Source organism: Homo sapiens, chromosome 15 (genome assembly GCF_000001405.40).
Source record: "Homo sapiens chromosome 15, GRCh38.p14 Primary Assembly".
NCBI classification, from domain to species: Eukaryota; Metazoa; Chordata; class Mammalia; order Primates; family Hominidae; genus Homo; species Homo sapiens.
This window is the reverse complement of record NC_000015.10, coordinates 81735718-81756915: the sequence shown is the minus strand read 5'-3', so window position 1 is coordinate 81756915 and position 21198 is coordinate 81735718. Positions and strand designations below refer to the sequence as shown.

The window sequence follows — 21198 nt, the reverse complement described above, 5'->3', positions numbered from 1 at the left end:
CCCCACCTTATCTAGCCCCCGGTCCCATTTTCTTTCACAGGTGGCTTTCCTAAAAAAAATCCTTGCACATTAATTGTTTCAGCATCTGCCTCTAAAAGGACCCGGACACAACCTAGACTGAGATAGTGATTTGTAAACCTTAAACTTTATTTATAGTGATCCAAATATCCATCCACATATCCATGTACCCAAATATCCATGAATAGATAAACAAAATATATCTATAACGTGGAATATTATTGAGCCCTAGACACAGAATGAAGTACTGACACATGCTGTAACATGGATGAACCTTGAAAACACGAGAAGGTCTTTTGAAATCAGCCCAAAGGATCACATCTTGTACTATTCCATTTATATGAAATATTCAGAATAGGCAAATCCATACAGAAAGAAACAAGATTACTGATTGCCAGGGGCTGGGGGTTAAGCAGGGCGGTGGAAATAGGGAATGACTCTTTATGGGTATAAAGTTTACTTTTTGGGACTGGAAGTTTATTGGAGTGTTCATTTTAGTTCCGGACCTGCACAGTGGTGATGGTTGTGCAACACTGTACGTGTACTTTACTCACCAATGTGTATACGTTAAGATGGTTAAAAGAGTAAATTTTATGTTCATGTATGTTACTACAATAAAAAAACTTTATGAGGGTACTAGGCATATTATTATTACAAATACAGTTCTTTACCAGCTACGCATGCTCCCCTCTCAGTTGTTCCTCAATCCTCTCTTACCTCCTTTCTTTTCCCCACTGATCCACAGAAACTCTTTTGCTAAATCGCCAAATCCACCAGACAATCCTCAGTACTTATCTTACCTAAGTTCTCCGCTGCCTTTGACACTGTTAACTCCTCCCTGTTTCTTGAAATCCTCTCTTCTCTTGTTTTCTCTGTGGCACCCTTTGCTCCTGTGTTCCTCCTTTTTCTATGCATCCTTAGGGGTTCCCGGGGGTTTTGTTCATGGTCCTCTTCTTTCTCAATCTGTTTTCGAGAAACTTGCAAAAGTACAACTCAGCCTAACATGCCTGTCCAAGTTCCAGACCTGAAGAGCTCCAGCCTCCTCGTGGATCCCTTTATCTCAACACGTCTGGAACAGAACTCATGTGGGTCTCTTTCTGGGCTTCTTATCTCAGTAAATTTCACCACCAAATATCCAGTTCTGAAGCAAGAAACACTGGGCTTCACTTTTGATTCCTCCCTCCCTCTCAATGCCCAAATCTCATGGGTCTAAAGTCCCATCAATGTTATCACTTGCATATTTTTGAAATCCACACCATTGCAACCCATTTCCAAAGTAGACTACTGATTGCCAGGGGCTGGGGGCTAGGCGGGGCAGGGGAAATAGGGAAATGCTTCCATTTTCATTCTCACCAATGCTGTCCTGGACCACTGCAAAGCCTTCTGACTGGTCTTCATGCTCTCCTCACCTCCTCTTTCTAAAGCATCCTGCTTAACATTGCTAAAATAATTTGTCTAAATGGAAATTTGACCGTATTACTCCCTAGCTTAAAATACTCCGGGGGTTCCGCATTGTCTCCTCCATAGCATGGCCATAAAGTCCTGCAAGAATCACATGCTTTGGCCTTTGTCCTCCTCCAGCGTGTCATTCCTTGCAGGTGACCCCTTCTGGTCCAGTGGGTCTCCATCCTGGTGTGTCTCAACCTGTGGATGATGCTTGAGCCCTCCTCTCAGAGATTCTGGTCTGGAAAGGGCCCTAAACGTTGTTGTTGTTGTTGTTGTTTTAAGTTCCCAGAGCTGCTAATATGCCTCCAGGGGTAGGCACAACTGTGAACCTAGCCCTACATGTGAAGGGTTTGCAAGTGCCAGGTCCCGAACCTATTGAGTAGAAGGAACCAAAGTAAGCAGCATTGCCTCCGTCATTTCCCACCCTCTTATGATATTTTAAGGAAAGGGTTTTTCACTCAGCTATGCAGCAAATATTCCTGGAAATCTTGCCTGGGTCATAAGGAAATGAGGGCTCTTGTATTGCCTAGCTCCCTTCCTTTTGCCTGCTAGAGAGGAGATAGGGTAGAGGCTTTCACTGCGTAAGTTGAGCAGATAGTTGTATGCTCCTTATGAGCAATTGGGTGAGGGTGGCAGCGGGTGGAAGATGACCATCAAGAATGGTCTGTCTCCCTTCCATTGCTTGAATTCCTATCTACCTGATGGTTTGCTACAGCTGCAGTAACAGTAACAAAGACCACAAACTGAGTGGCTTCAACAACAAACACTTAGTGTCTTACAGGTCTGGAGGCTGGAAGCCTGAGATCAAGGGCTGATTCCTTCTGAGGGCTGTGAGAAAGAATCTGTTCTCTGTGTCTTTCCTAGTTTCTGGTGGTTTGCTGGCACAGTCTTGGTGTTCCTGAGCTTCTAGATGCATGACCACGATCTCTGCCTTTGTGTTCACAAGGTGTTTTCCCTGTGTGTGTTGGTATCCAAATTCCCCCTTTTTAAAAGGATACCAATCTTACTGGATTGGGGCCCAACCTATTCCAGTATGACCTCATCTTAACTAATTCCATTTGCAATGCCCTGATTTCCAGGTACTGGAAATTAAGACTTCAACATAGGAATTCTGGGGGGAAACAGTTCAGCTCATAACCCTAACAAGAGAGTGGCAGGCCAGAGACTTGCCAGACTGATACCTAAAAAGGGCAGCTACACATTCAAAACAGGGAGTGAGTCATCCCTCTTCTCTTGTCTGTCCAAAACAATTCAAACCCAAGAGGAGAAACGAGAAAGAGACCACCTTTGCAGATAAACCCCAAATCCCTAACCCCATACATTCTGAAGTCATCTTAATTTCCTTTTAATCCCCCAAATCCTGTTGACATCTCAGATCCCAGTTGCTAATTAGCCATGCTTCTATTCAATGTGTTATATGCCTAGTTATTGGGCAGATGCATACTCTCATTTGATAATAACTAGCTAAACCCAAAATGCCTTTTATGGATGTGATATTTCATCATTCAAATCTGATTAATAAGACCAGCTTGAAGAAATTGCGGGAACTGATGTTTTAGTTGAAGGGTTAAAAAGAAAATAACATTTGGAATAGTGACACTGAAATTAAGTGACATTAAGAACAAATATCTAAGTTTCTCTCTCCACACCGTGGTAGCCAGCCCCTCTTTCTTTTCTCTCATTTTCATGGGGTATGAAGAACTTTTACTTACATCATCCTGGTGCAGCGTTTTTCCCCCTTGAACTACTGACATTTCAGGCTGAATGACTGTTTGTCGTGGAGTCTGTCCTGTGCATTGGAGGATGTTTAGCAGCATCCTGGCCTCCACCCACTAGATGCCAAGAGTGTCTCCAGACATTGCCAGATGTTTCCTGGAGGGTAAAATCACCACTGTCTTAGAATATACAAAAGCAACTTTGTCACTCTAAAATACTATGCAGATGTGTGGAATTATCTCATTTATTACTTCCAATAGCCGAGTGGTTTGTGTAGATGGGAAGATGGGGAGAGTTGTTTAAATGACCTGCTTCAGATCCCACTGCAGATCTGTCTTAGTCCTATGCTCATGAGATTACACTGCAATCACCACAAGCTTCTATTCTAAAGGGTTTTAATCATTCTTTCAGATAGGAAAGGGTGTTGTCCCCAATTCACCACCAGAGGACATCTCTGAGAGTTAGCCGTGATATTCCTGGGCTTGATAGGACATGGAGCCCATGCTAGCTTTTCATCTAAATGCTGCTAGCACTGCTCACATATTTGCATACAGTTCTTATAGGACAATGCAGCCATGCGCTTGCTTGCAGAGGAGACGTGTAGATCTTTCCTAATGTTTATTTTGGGTTAAGTTCTCTTTGCAGGGGTATCCATAACTACTGAGAATTAGATCCTTATGTTTAAATGGCATAAAATGCAATGTGTGAATGAGGTATCTCCCCGCCCTCCAAAAACAAAAAAAAAATACATAGCTTTTCATGGTCACGAGGGCTAATCTGATTCTGGCTGCCACTGTGGAAGGCTTAGTTAATCTAATTAAATGAAGCTAGTGCCTCCTGATTTCCTAGTCCTGCTCTCCCTTCTCCATCAAGGAATGGCTTTAATGGCCCAACAAAGGGCTCAGCCTGGTGCACCATGAATTTGAAATAATGTCCCGCACTGGGTTAACTGAACTCTCCTGCCAGCAGAGCTGATGCCATCTGCCCATTTATTGACAGCCTTGTCAGCAAAAATCTGGAGTCTGAGGGTTGGCAGGCAGCCAACTTGCTTTCCACTGTCTCTCCAGTGTCTCAGTAACAGATGTTGTGCCTCATGCCTGGAGCTGCTGTTGGCAAATCGCTGCATGCTCATGTTATTTATCAGGGCGTGGAGGGAGGGCAGGAAGGGATACATGTTTTCCAGGAAGGAATTTGTATTCCTTTCCAGGTTCTTGGTTTGCAGATTAAAAAAAAAAAAAAAAGCATTTGAAACTGACTTTTAAAAATGTGAAATAATCAGCTTATTGTTCAATACTGAAAAAAAAAAAATCTTCCAAACCATGTAACTATTTCAGGTGCCAAATCACAAGTGACGGAGGTTATGTGGACTTGAATGTTTGCCACAATTCCTTCCCCTTAGGAGCTCCCTGGCCTTGGAGGATGCCTTTTAATTATATTGTCATACAAAGGAAACTGAATTGGGAGCATTTTTTTTTTTTTTGCAAATAATACCTCACTCGTAGTGAGTTCTTACCCCTAATCAATGGAAGTTAATCAGAGTGTTCATTGAATGAATAAAGAGTGAACTGTGATTCAGGGAAGGCACAATGTGTATGTCCTTGATACAGGAAAATTTTCTGGCAGTACCTTCATTTGTAAAGGAGGAAACAGGAAATAAGCGACAATTTTAAAGAAATGAATTTCAGCCTCTATATGGAGCTTCGTACACAGGTCCCGACCAGCCATTCTACATTGAAGATCTCTATTTGGAAATTCTTGTCAAAGCAGTTTTATGAAAGGATTTTTTTTCCCCTTAGGTGTAAGGCACTCAACCATTGGTTCACGTGGACTCTGTGTTTGTCCATTCAGCCATAACAAAGGGAATCTTGGATCAGGACAGAAAAATAGCACAGAGGGAATTATGCCACACTGACCCCCAGAAAGGGGAATTATTTACCTGGAGAGTGGGGAGAAGACAGGTGGTACTGGTGGGAGGTTTGGGGTGGGGGAGGGGGGTGGAATTTGCAGCTTCCTGAGCCAGGGAGCAGCACATTTAAGGTGTTTCCCTGCCGACTACTCCTCTTTATGCACATCGAAAAGGCAAAACTCCTGAGAGGGAATCAGAGAATTTGTCGGTGAAAAAGTCCAGAAGGACCTCTCAGCATAGGCAACAGAGTCTGTCCAAAGCTATCCAAGAAATGGTTTGGCACCTGGGAAGCACCAGAAGCCTCCTACCACTCCCGGATGTCCAGAGGCGAGCAGGTCAAGCAGCAAAACTGTGCAAGCTGCTCTCTTGCGGGTGGTGCTCTCTTGTGTTGCTCGAAGACAAATGTCACTGTCTTTTAATGAGCTGGTCTCAAGCATAAATAAGACAATAAAAGCCTGATGCAAATGAGTGCAAACCACTATGGTTGCAAGCCCCCAAACTCACTGGAGAACGCATAATTTACATTTTCAGTTCTAGTATTGATGCAGTAGTACTATGGATCGCCACTTCTGGCATTTGTATTGTGCTTTGTAGTTTAAACGTTTCTTTCATACACATTTTCTTACCCATTGGAAGGCTTTCTTCCTGGCTGGTGTCCAGGCTACACTGTCCATTCTGGTACTTCGGGTTAAGACAGTGGCATGGGTCTGTGCCCTCTCATGCTAATAAGACCTAGGAGCATGCCAGCTGCTGGATGTGAGTGATGCTGTGACAGAAGACTGAAATGTATGTCAGTGCTTGTGATCTGGGGGAGATGAGGTTCTGAGAGGTGCACTGAGGAGTAGTCAGAGATGGCAGGAAATTGCAGGTGGGGTACCCCTTTTACTTGACAAATGAGGACTTGGGCTCTGGGCCAAAGTGGCTGCAGGACAATGTGCCCTGTGCCTAAACCCAAACTGGGGCCGCTAGGACGCCTGAGGTTTAGGCCATGGGGATATGAACAGAAGGCGATCATTAACTCTAATGGTAACAGCAGCACTGCGGAGGGTGAGGGCACTGCTGTTTTTGCAGAACAAGGGGTTGGGCATCTTGGTCAGGCAAGGAGGCACACGGCCCCCGCGCACACCCTTTTAATCTGCTTCCCAGACATCCACGGGGTTCAAATAAGTGGTGAAATCAACGAGGGCACACTTGCTGCTGGTGGTAGAGTGAGCAGACTCTGGCGGGGCTATGGTAGCTTCCTCTGGCCAGCCCATCATGAGCTTTGGGAAAGGGCTTCCAGGATGACAGGCGATGCAGCGTCCATACCTGGGCCTTCTCCTTACCTTTCCCTCCCGGGAAGCTGAGCAGTGTGGTTTCTGCTGCCTCCACCAACTGGAGCCTCTGCTTCCGCCTCTGCCTCCATTCCTGAGTTCCCGGCAGCTGGTAGGACGCCCGTTTCTCTCTCTGCACTGGCGCAGGCTGCGAGGACCGAGATAAAGGCCATTTGGAGCCTGTAAGCATAACGGAGCCAAGGACAGGGGCTGCCATTTTATCAATGCCCCCTCCATGCCAGGCAGCCTCCCCTCCCGGGAGCTTTGCCCGGCACTGCCAGCGCAAGATGCTCAGAGGCCGGCTGGCTCAGGGATGTTCAGTTGTGCAAAGCTGCCTGTCCTCCACCTGGTGCAGAAGATGCCGCCTGCACCCAGCCAAGGCAGCCTTCTTCTCCACTCTACCTCGGCCGGCTCTTTCGGACCTCGGCGTTTCTAGCTGACGCAGGGAGCCGTTGCTAAGAGGCTGCTTGGCTGGAAAAGAATGGCGAGCAGGTGTGGGGGTCGCAGCATGCTCTCCCGGCCCTGGCTGCTGGCAAGCTAAGAACTGCAGGCGCGGAGTTACCAGCAGTTCGTTCTTTGTTCAGCACCCCCAGCCAAGCTAGGCTGCAGCAGCTCATTTTTCTGCGCCTTAATACCTGCTCTGAGAAGCAGGAGTCGCCTGGCAGGCAGCCAACGCCCCTACTTCTCCTCCCTTTCCTCTCCTGCTTCCTCTGCCTTTGCAGGAAGGGTCTGGGGCCGTGACAGCACTTTATTGCTGGAGGAAGGGACACCTCTGCCTGTGGGTGCAGAATCCACACTTCATTCTTGTTGTTGAGTTGCCAGCTAGTTCCCTGCAAGGGACATTGTCCCACATGTATGCCAAACCCACAATCTCTGGGGACCTGGCATTTAAAGCTAATGAATGAAACAGGCTGGGCACGGTGGCTCAGGCCTGTAATCTCAGCACTTTGTGAGGCCAAGGTGGGCGGATCACTTGAGGTCAGGAGTTTGAGACCAGCCTGGCCAACATGGTGAAACTCCGTCTCTACTAAAAATACAAAGAAAAAATTGGCTGGTGTGGTGGCACATGCCTGTGATTCCAGCTACTCGGGAGGCTGAGGCAGGAGAATTGCTTGAATCTGGGAGGTGGAGGTTGCAGTGAGCTGAGATTGTGCCATTGCACCCCAGCCTCGGTGACAGAGTAAGACTCCGTCTCAAAAACAAAACAAACAACCCCCCCCCCCACAAAACAAACAAAAAAAAAACACTGAGTGAAATAGTCCAAGTGCAAGACAATTTGGAGCCATGGGGACTGCAATGACCGTCTCATTGGAAGATGGATGGAAAGGGACATGACAGCTCAGACCCCATGGGCTTAGTGTTGTCTATCTTCCAAATTGTCAAGAAAAGCCAGCCATTCTAATTTTTCTATACAATTAAAAAATTTACATATTGACAACAAATTCCATTTTTTAAAGCATTATGTTGGTGAAGGAAACCACCTCTGCAAGGTATGTGGGGCCCAAGGGCTGTCAGTGTGTAATTTCCATCCTACTTTTGTGAGTATACAGTCATAAACTCCATTTTTCATCTGTCTGGGTTCATCCCAGCTGGGTGTAGTGACTCTCTTCTGTGAATTCCTTTTCAAAAGTTCTGAGTTCATTTGGGAGTTCCATTTTAGTTTGTGTTCTTGGTGGTGGTGGTGGTGATGGGCTGGGGTGAGGGATACTGAGGTCTCCCAACAGAGCAATAACCAGAGGGAACTGAGTTGTTAATACAGAAATTTTTCTAGGTCCAGCATTGCTAGGATCCAACATTTGATCTAAGCGTATTAGTGTTCTATGCTTTGTAACAAATTAGCACCACTTGGAGGCTTAGTTTGACCCAAATTTATTGTTGCACAGTTTCTGTGGGTCAGGATTATGGCATAGGTGAGCCTGGTCTTGTACTCAGGGTCTTAGCAGGTCCTGACCAGGGCCATGCTCTTTTCTGAGGCTAGAGGGGCTCTTTCAAGCTCATGCTGGTTGTTGGCAGAATTCAGTTCCCTGTGGCTACAGGACTGATGTCTTCAGCTCCTCAGAGAAGGCCCGCTGTCCTCTGCCATGTGGTCCTGTCAGCAGCAGGGAAGGGTGTTTCTACAAGGCCAATAGAGGATCACTCTTGTTTTGAATCTCTCACTTCTTTTACAGGCCCACCTGATTAGCTCAGACCCACCCAACATAACCTCCCTTTTGAGTAACTCATTAGGAACCTTAGTTACATCTGAAAAAAAATCCTTCACCTTTTCCGTATAACATAACCTAACCATAAGAGTGAAATTCATCATATTCACAGTCCCACCCACATTCAAGGGTAGAAGCTTACAAAGTGTGTGTACACTGTGGGTGGGAATCTTGGGGAGTGTGTGCCAGAATTCTGCCTACCACTCTAAGAAAAACTCCTTTTGTTGCTGATTTTTAGTTAACCGTTAAATGAGGCTATGCTAGGTGATTTCTTATGTCAACTTTTTAGATCTAAAATGCTACAAAATTAATCTCAAATGCTACACATTGATCTCAAAGGGTAGCTTGTATTGTAAGAACTATTATAGTTTCCACTGGAAGGCCACAAAGATGAGATAGGGCCATCAAGTTAAATCTGGAACAAAGCTGATGTTTCATTCAATAATTTACATTTTTTTTAGTTTCTGGACAGATGATGTATTAGGCTGTTCTCACATTGCTATAAAGAAATATCCAAGATTGAGTAGTTTATAAAGAAAATAGGTTTAATTGACTCATGGTTTTGCAGACTGTACAGGAAACGTAGCGGCATCTGCTTCCTGGGAGGCCTCAGGAAACTTAAATCATGGCAGAATGCCAAGAGGAAGCAGGGATCTCACATGGCAAAAGCAGGAGCAAGAGAGAGAAGAGAAAGGCACCACACACTTTTAGACCACCAGATCTTGTGGGAACTCACTCACTATCATGAGAACACCATTCATGAGAAATCCACCCCCATGATCCAATCAGATCCCACCAGGCTCCACCTGCTGCAACATTGGGGATTACATTTCAACATGAGATTTGGGTAGGGATGGATCCAACAATCAGAGGGAGTTTAAGCAACATGACAAGTTCACAGATATCCAGGCATTAGAACATACTCCTTTGTTGTATGGACCCATATCATTAAACTTTGGTTTTTCACTAACAGAGATTAGGCTAGATCATACGCTTAACTGCTTCTGGGGCAGTGCTGGTTTATTGCAGGGAAAGCTTCAGGAGAATGCTGGAATGCTGTCCTAAAAGTTGAGGTTATCTCCTTATGCATCTTGCCTTCTGGGAAGAAGGGATAAAGGCTGCAGGCACCGGGAGGATCACTTGTCCTAGCCCTGCTTTTTGCTGTTAGTTCTTTCCCCTTCATTTCCTCCTCTCTCGGGTTACTCAGAAGATTCACACTTTCACTCCAGCAAAACCCTTTCTCTTGACTGTTCCTGAGATCTTCAGGTTACAGGAACATTCAGTCAGGAGGGTGAAGGGGGTACCATCTGTCTCTAGCAAAGAAAGAGCACACCAGTGTCGGTATCTTCAGAAAGATGTTCTCCTAGGTCCATGGGCTCACATGCACTAAAGAACAGTCACTCTATCAGCAGCCAAGTTTCTCCCCCCAAAACACAGAAGTTCATTACTTAAGAATTAAGCAAGTCTGGGACTGCTGCTCTCTGCTGTTTAATAGCAGAAGAAGCAAAAGACTTGCTTAAGTTTTTTACCAATTTGTAAGGAATATTGATCTTTCAATACTCCTGTTTCTAAAAGGAAGTGCTAAGAGCTTAGAAAAGCCCATCACTCTAAAATCTCCAGATTGGCATGAAGACATTTAATAGAAGAAAAAAAAAAAGTTTGAGAATCTTTGAGTAGTGCTTGCTAACTGCATAAGAAAAAACACCATTTTGGAAATCTTCAAAAATATATAACTGGCTGTTCTTTTCCTCCACTAAAATACACAAATAGTCTGTGACTCCTCTTGAGTTTGTTGGGAATTACATGTCGTTTTTATAGGGAAGCTACATGATGAGCTGTTTCACGTTGATCAGGAAAATGTCCCGGATTGAAAACAAACAAATGAAATTGAAAACATAAAGCAAAAACAACCAAAAGTACAATAAAATTCCTTGTTTCCTCCCAAACTTTCATCCCATCTTCTCTCCTGAGGGGCCTTAGACCAAGTCCAACGATTACGATTGGCAGCAAATCTTTGCCAAGATGCTTTTGACATGGATGAAATTAGAAGATTTGAATAAGTGGGCTGAATCGACTCCAGGCACAAGCTAATTGATAGTTTCACTATGTTCCTTATAATTATAAGTTTTACATAAAGCCTAAAAATTTTAAGTATATAAAATATCTATTTAATCCATTGGAGCATTATTATTTAGGGGAGAGGTACTGTTTCCTGGTGGATTGATCACTGGGCAACAGGTTAGAAAAACTGAGTTCTGGTTCTAGGTATACCATGAACTTGGTGTGATGAGGCAGGCTTCACCCTGAACCTCACTTTCCACATATGTAAAAGGAAGGGAACTGAATTCGATTATCAGTTTTCAAACTCTACTTTTTAGTACCTTGGGTTTCTATGGAGGTGATTGAGGGGAAGAAGGAAAGAGGTAAATGGTGGATAATATTTCAATCAGCAAGTGCTCTACCCCTCTTTCCATAGGAGGAGTTTACATTCCCACTCCACAGATGCAGGGAATGGCCATATGATTTGCTTTGCTCAATGACATTTGTGTGGAAGTGACAGTATGCCAATTCTGAGCAGATGCTTTGAAAGGTGATTTATGTTTCCACTTTAACCTCTTGCACCCCTGCTGCCTGCTATAAGAGCATCAAGTGCCCCTTTAGTCTGGTCCTACAATGAGAATATTTGTGGGCAGAACTAAACCGATCTCCCAGCCTGGAACAGAGCCAAGGCAACCATCCCACAGACCTGTGAGCAAAAAATAAATATATGTGGTTATAAGGTGTTAAAACTTTGGGGTTCGTTGTTACACAGCACTATTGTAGGAAAAGCTGATTAATAGAGGCCCAAATGGGCTGCCTCTAGTTCCCCTTCTGGACCTTCAACTAGTGCAGCTCTGTTCTTTACTCTTTTGCATACTAGCTTCTCCATAAGACTTCATCTTAATAAAGGAGTTCTGATGCTTAACACCCAAACAAAACACCAGTTGCATTAGATTAAGTTTCAAAAACTTTTCATTGACTTGAGGTTTTAGTAGTTTGCCATTTTTGATATATACATGTCTGATCATGCTTATTTTTAAATTTCTACTGTTGAAATAAGAAATAAAATAAAATCATGACTTCAGCAAATTAAATCTATTATAAATTTAAACAAAAAGTATCTCCAGGCCAGGTGGGGTGGCTTATGTCTGTAATTCCAGCACTTTGGGAGGTTGAGGTGGGTGGATCTCAAGGTCAGGAGTTTGAGACCAGCCTGACGAACATGGTGAAACCCTGTCTCTACTAAAAATACAAAAATTAGCCAGGCATGTTGGTGCGTGCCTGTAATCTCAGCTACTCAGGAGGCTGAGGCAGGAGAATCGCTTGAACCCAGGAGGTGGAGGTTGCATTGAGCCAAGATCATGCCACTGCACTCCAGCCTGGGTGACAGAGCGAGACTCCATCTCAAAAAATAAATAAATCAATAAATAAAAATAAAGTATCTCCAATATTTCATATTTTTATTTTTAATCTCCAGAAAGTAAATTGAGAAAGCCATTTAGGTGTCATTTCAACTAAGTATTCTATGATAGGTTACTTTTAAGCTACTTATTCTAACCCTGGTATTTTAAAAGTGAACAAATTACCATTTGGTCAATAAGGGGTTTTCTGTAGATTTGGAGAACAGAACAGGGTCTTACAGATATCTCAGTGCTGGTCACATGCTCAGATGCAGTGAAATCTGACCCTGAAGGAGGCGTGCTTTCACACATCCCAGCCTGGGCAATCACGTGACATGGCAAAAGCCTGGCTTTAATGGCCTGCTCATCTCACCACACCATCCCACCGCCGAGACCCACCACTTACCATCAGTCCTTAACTGACCCTGTGCATTTGGGTAGATTTGAATGTAGTGGACTTTCCTACCCATCATTTCCCCCTGAAAAGTGCACCTTTCTGTGTCTTATTTAATCAGGATCCTGAATGACGACCAGCAGTCAAACTTAGGGATTAAATTGAGGCCAAAGTATTAAAGATGATACCAGATTAAGGTGTTAACTTTCCCAAGGATTTAGTCTCCTAGTATCTTCCAATGTCTTAGTCCAAAGAAATGAATAATGAGGGATATTCCGGATACCATGGGAAGCCTGATAAGGAGGTATTTTTAGATTTTTGTATCAATTTAAAGACTACTAGGGGAGTGCCTACAGCTCTGTGAAGAACACGGGTACTGGTGGCTCATCTCAGCCAGTCCCTGCCCCTCTTCTCCTTCCTTAGTCCTTGGAGGGCCATTCACTTCAGAGGGCATGCTCCACATCCAGCTTGCCCCTAAAGTGATTGCCTAAAACTATTCAAGCTCTGTGACCAGTAATTTCCTCTAAAATGACCTCAGTTCTTCATCAGTGAAAATAATGCATTGGGTTATATTTTTTCTTCTCTATTTCTTTCCATATCTCACTAGAGCTTATCCTTTTTAAAAGCATACACTGAAATTATTTTAATTATAATATGTATATATATATAAAGATTTAACAGATTCCATGCATCCACCAGTTAAATTGAACAGATGTTAATTTATTTGCTCATATTTATTCTGGGTCTTTTATATTTCAGTCACAAACCAATTTCGAAAACGTTAAAACATGAGAAAATGGGCCTCTTAAGATGAAAAAGTTATAAGACGTTAAGGAGGAAATCAAATACACATTAATAAGTGATTATGAAAATGAGACTATTACATATGAAAACCTATGGGAAGAGTACCAAATTTCCACGAGAAAAAACAAAACCCTAAATGTTCTGGTTTTTTACTAAGACAAAAAAAAATAAGCCCTCTAGGAAAGTGAAAGAACAAGAAAACAGACATGAGGAAAGACAATAATAATGAATGGAGACAAAATTAGAAATAAACAAATCTGGAAAAGGATAACACATGTCCTAGGAAGAGATTATATAAAACAGAATTAACTCCTCCAGAGTATTAAAAAATATGGACATCTGCCCAGTTAGAAAATAAGCTTAACTTTGAAGCCAATTTCTATCAAAGAGTACAACCAGAGGAAACCTATGGCTAAGGAGATTCATAACATTCATACATATATATATATATTTTTTTTTTTTTCACGTTCTGAATTCAATATCACTTTATTGGTAAAAGAATATTGTGCCTGAACAGGAATTAACCTACCAATGGAAGTTAGATTATTAGGAATCTATTAATAAATATATAAGAATAGATAACATAAGAAAAACAATAATAGATAATGTAAGAAGAATGTCATTGCAAGACATTTTCAAAATGTATTTAACATCCATGGATGCACCTAGAGGACATTATGCTAAGTGAAATAAGTCAATCACAAAAAGACAAATACTGTATGATTCCACTTATATGAGGTATTTAGAGCAGTGAAAATCATAGAGACATAAAGTAGAATGGTGGTTTCCAGGGGATGGAGGGAGGCGGAATGGAGAGTTCCTGTTTAATTGGGTATAGAGTTTCAGTTTTGCAAGATAAAAAAGAGTTCTGGAGATTGGATATGCAACACTGTGAATGTACTTAATACTACTGGACTGGACGCTTAAAAATGGTTAAATTAGCAAATTTATTTTATGTGTATTTTCTCACAATTTAAAAAACAGGAGAATATATCAGAATTCCAGTGTTTAAGTCAACTAAAAAAATTTAACATCAACATATAACCTAAGTCTACATAAAATGCAAGAATAAGTACAATTAATTAGCTTGTCATAACAGTCGTCACAAATCTGTTATTAAAATAGTGGTTGGTTTTACATTTGATGGTTTCCTAGAATCAGAAAAAAGTAATACCTGTTTAATAGAATTTTTCTGTTTATAAATGATAACAGTTGATTTTCTGCCTAATTTTTTATTAACAGCATCCCTTTATTACTTGTTATTAAAGAATGTGATATCTATTATTTCTGCTTCTTAAATATATTGAAATTTATTTTGTGATCAAAATAAAATCCTTAAGCTCCCTCTACATCCTGGAATAGAATGTGTGTTGTCTGCTTTAAAAGTGTACATTTCCATCTATGTCTATTAATTCTACTTTGGTAACTTATTGTTTAAATTCTTCCTTCTTCTTTTTTGTTTATTTTTGCCTGCATGTTCTCATATACTGAAATTGGCAGATTTAAGTAACTCATTATAATTACATTTCTATTTTTTCCTTTTTCTCCTAACAGTTTTTCAATTTTTAACCAATATTACTGTCGTAAAAAAGTTCAGCTCTGTTATTTCTTGAGAATGAATCATGTCTTTACCAACCTGAGATGACCCTCTTTGTTGTGTGGCAGGGATGGGACTAAGACTAGGGGATCTGTTGGATCATTGCATAGAAGTATAAGTGCTGTGGCCTGGAGAGCCACTACTGCCAGGCAGAGAACACCAGTGGGCAGCATCATGCATTTCTGGGACAGGTCATCCCCTATCGAACAGTGTGCATCCCACAGAGATTTGTTTTCCTGAACCAGATTTCCTGCCTATGTAGATAGCTCCTTGCCTTTTTAAGATCAAGGGACACTCACTCAACTTGACAGGCAAAGCACCAGGAGAGAGACTCAGTATGACCACACAACACACCTGGTGTGGAGGTGAAGGTAAGAAGCCATTCCCGTATGGAAAACTGTCCTTCAGCTCACAGTGAAGTAAGATTAATTGCAGATCAAGGTCCTCCCTTGGCTAGTACCTGCCCGTATGCTTCAGATTGAAACATTGCTGGTCTTAAAGGTCCTAGGTGGCACAAGCTAACAGCAAGCCATAAAGTGTGGGCTCACTCAATAAGTATCTTCTACAAGATTTCTGGGAAAATCAGTCAAAGGTAGATATTTCCTTTTGTCATTCAAGGATAAATAGTTAAAAATAGAGTGTGGATGTGAAAAGAATCTGCAATGTCTAGTTCAAGATGGTGATTTGAACTAATCTTTCTTTCCCTATACTTTCATATTTCTATTGTAATAAAGAAGTTATATAGGGCAAAATCTATATAAAAGTTGGAAAATAGGAAAGAGTGTCACAAAAACTGTACAGACACTTTGAGGAATTTCTTGTTTGGTACTTTCTGCAACCTATAAAGAAACTCCAACAGCACAGTGGTGCAACGAATGTGAAATGGACAACTCCCTTGTCAGAACCATCAAATAAATCCCTCTGGAGCTTGGAGAGGCAGGGCCTTGAGGTGGTAACCATGGGGCTATCAATTAAGACAAAGCTAGTGCTGTGAGTAGCCTCAGGGAGTGAACTGATGTTGGCAAATGCAGCTATTGACCAACCTACTCCCCTTTAGTCTCCAAGGGGAGAGAGTGGTGTATAATAAAGGGGAGGCAATGTCACAGCAAGAGAAGGGGGCAATGCCACCACATATTTTAGGCTACCACTCCAAAAACATTAAAAAATGACACAGCAATGAGGTCTCTGCTATGCTCTAATAGATCTCCTATTAGGTCCCCCTCCTGAGTCTTTGCTTCCTTTGGATGAATAAGATTTGCTCTTTAAAGTGTCATGTTTCTATTTTTAAGTTTATTTGTCTTTGCAATTTGGGGAACAGTGTTATTCTTTTTTGACCCCAGATATCCTTTCCATGTTTATTCATTTTGTTTTCTTCAATTTCAATCTCCTGATCTTTGTTGAGAGCCAAGTGGCTTTTTATTTGTATGGAAATAAATGATCTTTTTACCCATGGAAACATTAGTCATCCTGCCTCCTCACTTAAAAACTTTCTTCTCTTGAGAGGATGCCAAAATCAAGGGTGCATACTCATTCATTCCTCTAGGGATCACTATCAAGATTGTTTTTCACAGCTATCACTTTTTAAAATTGAAGCATGATACTTTGTAGCCCATGATTTTAAGTAAAATTAAGGTCTAATGGATGGCTTACCACATCATGCTGCTTTTCCAGGGATTTCATTTACAATAGTATCAAATGCACTGAGATGAATGAGTTTCACCCTTCAATGGAAACTGGGAAACGCACAGTTGAATTGACTTTAGATAAATATTAACAGCAACTGCTCAGAAGCAAAGGTCAAGAAATAATACCCAAATACTTGTCTTTACTAAAACACTTAAATTGTATAAAACTTGAAAACCCATTCTCATTTTTAAGTGAACACATTAATCTCCCAAGGAATGAAAGAAGAAGTTGTCATGAATTTAGGCAGAGAATAATTTACTCCTGATTTTTTTTTTTTTGTCCCTTAGGAGAAAGATTAAGGAGCAGACCACTCAATCGGTTCCTGGAGTAGTGATCTGTAAGGGGTACTAAAATAACACCACTGTGGCAGATAGACCCTAGGGTGGCCCCAATGTTCAAGTCTATAGTCACTTCCCATTGAATGTGGGTGGGACCTGTCACTTGCCTCTAACCAATAAAATATGGTCAAAATCATGAGATGTCATTCCTGCCATTACGCTATGTATGTGTGCGTGTGAACATTAATACAAGAGAGACTCTCCATTGTAGCTTTGAATGAGTAAGCTGCCATGTTTGTGAGAAGGCCTATGGGAAGGCACCACATGGCAGGGAGCTGCAAGCAGTGTCAAGGACATGAGAAAGACCCATGACTGACAGCGAGCAAGAAATCAAGACATCCCAGTCCTACAGCCATAAGATGAATTCTGCTAACAACTTGAGGAAACTTGGAAGTGGATCTTTCCCCAGTCCAGCCTCTGATGAGACCCGAGCCCTAGCTGACACCTGGGTTGCCACCTGATGAAACACTCTGAAACAGAGAATCCAATTAAGCTGTGCTTAGATTTCCAACCTACAGAAACCTGTGAGATAATAAGTATATGTCATTTTAAGCTTATGAGTTTGTGATAATTTGTTATGCAGTAACGGAAAATGAATGCAATTGTGGAGTATGTGACAGAGATAGAGAAAATTGCGCTTACTAGAGTCCATTCAAGGAGAGTAACAAGTGTGGTTGGAATAACTACTGTCATGAGCTATGCAGATTTGGAGGTAGACTCTTCAGAAGCAAGCTCATTTACCATCTTATCTGGAGAGCAGCCATTGTTGCTGGAGGGCTTTTGTTTTGCTGAGTGATCTGTACTTCAGTTAGCACTGAAGTACTCGGAATAATAGAGATGACCCTGTTTGTAGTCAGCCAACCACAGACTTCTCTATCTTTCCCCTGCAGTGTTCAGACTCCACATAAACACATGTAAAATAAATGTTTAAAGAATATTATTTCTGAAAGCTGACAAATTAGCAGTCTCCACATGTTTTGGTCTGGCTTTATATCTATCATTGAGGTTATAGGCCACACTCCAGAACACACTTGAAGTTGACAATAAAGGACTCAGGAGAGACCACCCAGTTCATGTTGGGGTTCCATTTTCCAACAGGCTCGGATGGGCAGAGGAAAGTTAACATCTCCAAAGGAGGGTCTCCAAGTCTATTCCAGGATTGGGGCTGTGGGAACCTCCTGGCCTGTGCTGTTTTTCAAATAGGAGGCCTTGACTATGTACTTACTAACTTTGACTACTGAAAGGTCTGAAAAGGAGATAAACTATTTTTCATTGCCTTTAGTAAACAGAAGTGGTTCAGTTGTAAGGTACTGGGCCTGATTGGTTCTCCTGAAGATACAAAGTCTCCCCAGATAACACTGACACATGAGCAGTACTTCCAACAGCCACCTTCTCTTAGCCTGTCTAGGTGGGGTAGAGGCTAATGAAACATTGTAGACACAGTTTCCAAGAACAGCTCCTTCTCAGGGACCTGAAATTCTTTTTAAAAATTTTTTAAAATTTTACTCTAAGTTCCAGGATACATGTGCAGAATGTGCAGGTTTGTTACGTAGGCATACATGTGCCATGGTGGTTTGCTGCACCTATCAACCCATCATCTAGGATTTAAGCCCCACATGCCTTAGGTATTTGTCTTAATGCTCTCCCTCCTCTGGTCCCCCACCCCCCGAGCGGCCCTGGTGGGTGTTGTTCCCCTCCCTGTGGGACCTGAAATTCTTATTACATTAATTTGTATTGCTTTATTTGAAATTGTAACAGTAATACATGCTTTTAGCAGTATAATCCAATCAATAGAGATGTTAATATGTGAAAATTCCTGTTTATACCCTACCCTCTCAATTGATCCCACTGCTATATCCAGAGGTAACTATAATTAAAGGTTAGTGTGTAACAAACCTGCACATGTATCCCTGACCAAAATCAACTAACCATGCATTTCTCAAAATGTATCCCCATCATTAAGAGATGCCTGACTGTGGCCGGGCGCGGTGGCTCACGCCTGTAATCCCAGCACTTTGGGAGGCCGAGGCGGGCGGATCACGAGGTCAGGAGATAGAGACCATCGTGGCTAACACGGTGAAACCCCGTCTCTACTAAAAATACAAAAAATTAGCCGGGCGAGGTGGCGGGCGCCTGTAGTCCCAGCTACTCGGGAGGCTGAGGCAGGAGAATGGCGTGAACCCCAGGGGGCGGAGCCTGCAGTGAGCCGAGATTGCGCCACTGCACTCCAGCCTGGGCGACAGCGAGACTCCGTCTCAAAAAAAAAAAAAAAAAAAAAAGAGATGCCTGACTGTATACACACTAAAGGAGAGGGTTTTTTAAAAATAGAATTGGGACTAATTCTATTTAAAATTTCTATTTTTAAAATTCTGTTAAAAATTCTATTTTTTTAAATAGAATTCAGGGGTACATGTGCAGGTTTGTTACATCCGTAAAGTTGTGTCATAGGGATTTGTTTTACAGATTATTTCATCATGATGGTATTAAGCCTAGTACCCATTAGTTATTTTTCCTGATCCTCTCCCTCCTCTCACACTCGACCCTCCAATAGGCCCCAGTGTGTGCTGTTCTCCTGTATGTGTCCATGTGTTCTCATCATTTAGTTCCCACTTAGAAGTGAGGACATGTGGTGTTTGGTTTTCTGTTCCTCTGTTAATTTGCTAAAGACAATAGCCTCCAGCTCCATCCATGTTCCTGCAAAGGACATGATCTCATTCTTTTTATGGCTGCATAGTATTCCATGGTGTATATGTACCACATTTTCTTTATCCAATTTATTATTGATGGACACTTACGTTTATTCCATGTCTTTGCTATTGTGAATAGTGCTGTAATAAATATATGAGTGTATGTGTCTTTATAGTAGAATGAATTATATTCCTTCGGGTGTATATACAGTAATGGGATTGCTGGATCAAATGGAATTTCTGTCTTAAGGTCTTTGAGGAGTCATCACACTGTTTTCCACAATGGTTGAACTAATTTAAACTCCCACCAACAGTGCATAAGCGTTCATTTTTCACCACAATATCACTAGCATCTATTTTTTAAATATTTCTTTAGGATAGAGTCTTTAGTTGAATGGCTGAGTCAATAGGGTACACATATTTTAAATTTTGATAGATAACTGCTAATTTTATTTTATGAGGACTATACCAGTGTACATGCATTAGCTGCATAATGATGTTTCAATCAATGACAGGCTACATATAGTGGTCCTAAGATTTTAATATGTGTTTTTTTCTGTATCTTTTCTATGTTTAGATATACAAATACTTACCATTGTGCTACAGTTGCCAACATTACAGTAACATGCTGTACAGGTTTGTAGCCTAGGAAAATAGGCTATTCCATACAGCCTAGGTGTGTAGTAAGCTATTCCTTCTATGTTTGTGTAATACACTCTATGATGTTCACATGACGAAATCACCTAATGATGCATTTCTCAACACATATCCCCATCATTAAGGGATATATGACTGTACACACACTCATTAGAGTATGAGGTTAACCATTTTTCCATGTTTGACTACAGTGGATCTGTTTTTTTTCCCATTTTGCCAACATGGGAGAAAAATGAAATCAGAGAATTGGCTTTTTCATCCTTGGCCTTCTTTTCTCAAGCTTTTCAACTGTGTGATGATCTTTGTTTCTTTTCTCTCTTGCTCTGAGTAGAAGAGGTCTTAAACCATTCTCAAGTGTAAATTTATATTTAAATTATATCACTAGATTTTCTTTTTTTTTTTAATTTTTTTTTTAATTATACTTTAAGTTTTAGGGTACATGTGCACATTGTGCAGGTTAGTTACATATGTATACATGTGCCATGCTGGTGCGCTGCACCCACTAACTCGTCATCTAGCATTAGGTATATCTCCCAATGCTATCCCTCCCCCCTCCCCCCACCCCACCACAGTCCCCAGAGTGTGATATTCCCCTTCCTGTGTCCATGTGATCTCATTGTTCACTTCCCACCTATGAGTGAGAATATGCAGTGTTTGGTTTTTTGTTCTTGCGATAGTTTACTGAGAATGATGATTTCCAATTTCATCCATGTCCCTACAAAGGACATGAACTCATCATTTTTTATGGCTGCATAGTATTCCATGGTGTATATGTGCCACATTTTCTTAATCCAGTCTATCATTGTTGGACATTTGGGTTGGTTCCAAGTCTTTGCTATTGTGAATAATGCCTCAATAAACATACGTGTGCATGTGTCTTTATAGCAGCATGATTTATAGTCCTTTGGGTATATACCCAGTAATGGGATGGCTGGGTCAAATGGTATTTCTAGTTCTAGATCCCTGAGGAATCGCCACACTGACTTCCACAATGG

At 41.7% G+C, this 21198-nt stretch overlaps 1 long non-coding RNA gene across 1 annotated transcript, besides 2 other annotated features; it reads right to left on the bottom strand.

Moving 5' to 3' along the window:
* Positions 1–123: 123 nt before the first annotated feature.
* Positions 124–18687, bottom strand: LOC124903541 (uncharacterized). The gene is made up of 3 exons (XR_007064740.1): positions 6412–18687; positions 3177–3336; positions 124–1836 (listed from the first exon to the last, which is right to left on the bottom strand). It is a non-coding gene; the product is annotated as an uncharacterized LOC124903541 (long non-coding RNA).
* Positions 6585–7159: an enhancer, noted in NCBI's record as "H3K4me1 hESC enhancer chr15:82042098-82042672 (GRCh37/hg19 assembly coordinates)". NCBI's record gives its function as "activates a minimal SCP1, AML or CMV promoter by ChIP-STARR-seq in naive H9 embryonic stem cells {active_cell/tissue: H9 hESC(naive)}" and the evidence as "EXISTENCE:reporter gene assay evidence [ECO:0000049][PMID:30033119]".
* Positions 17385–17896: an enhancer, noted in NCBI's record as "NANOG hESC enhancer chr15:82031361-82031872 (GRCh37/hg19 assembly coordinates)". NCBI's record gives its function as "activates a minimal SCP1, AML or CMV promoter by ChIP-STARR-seq in naive H9 embryonic stem cells {active_cell/tissue: H9 hESC(naive)}" and the evidence as "EXISTENCE:reporter gene assay evidence [ECO:0000049][PMID:30033119]".
* Positions 18688–21198: the final 2511 nt, after the last annotated feature.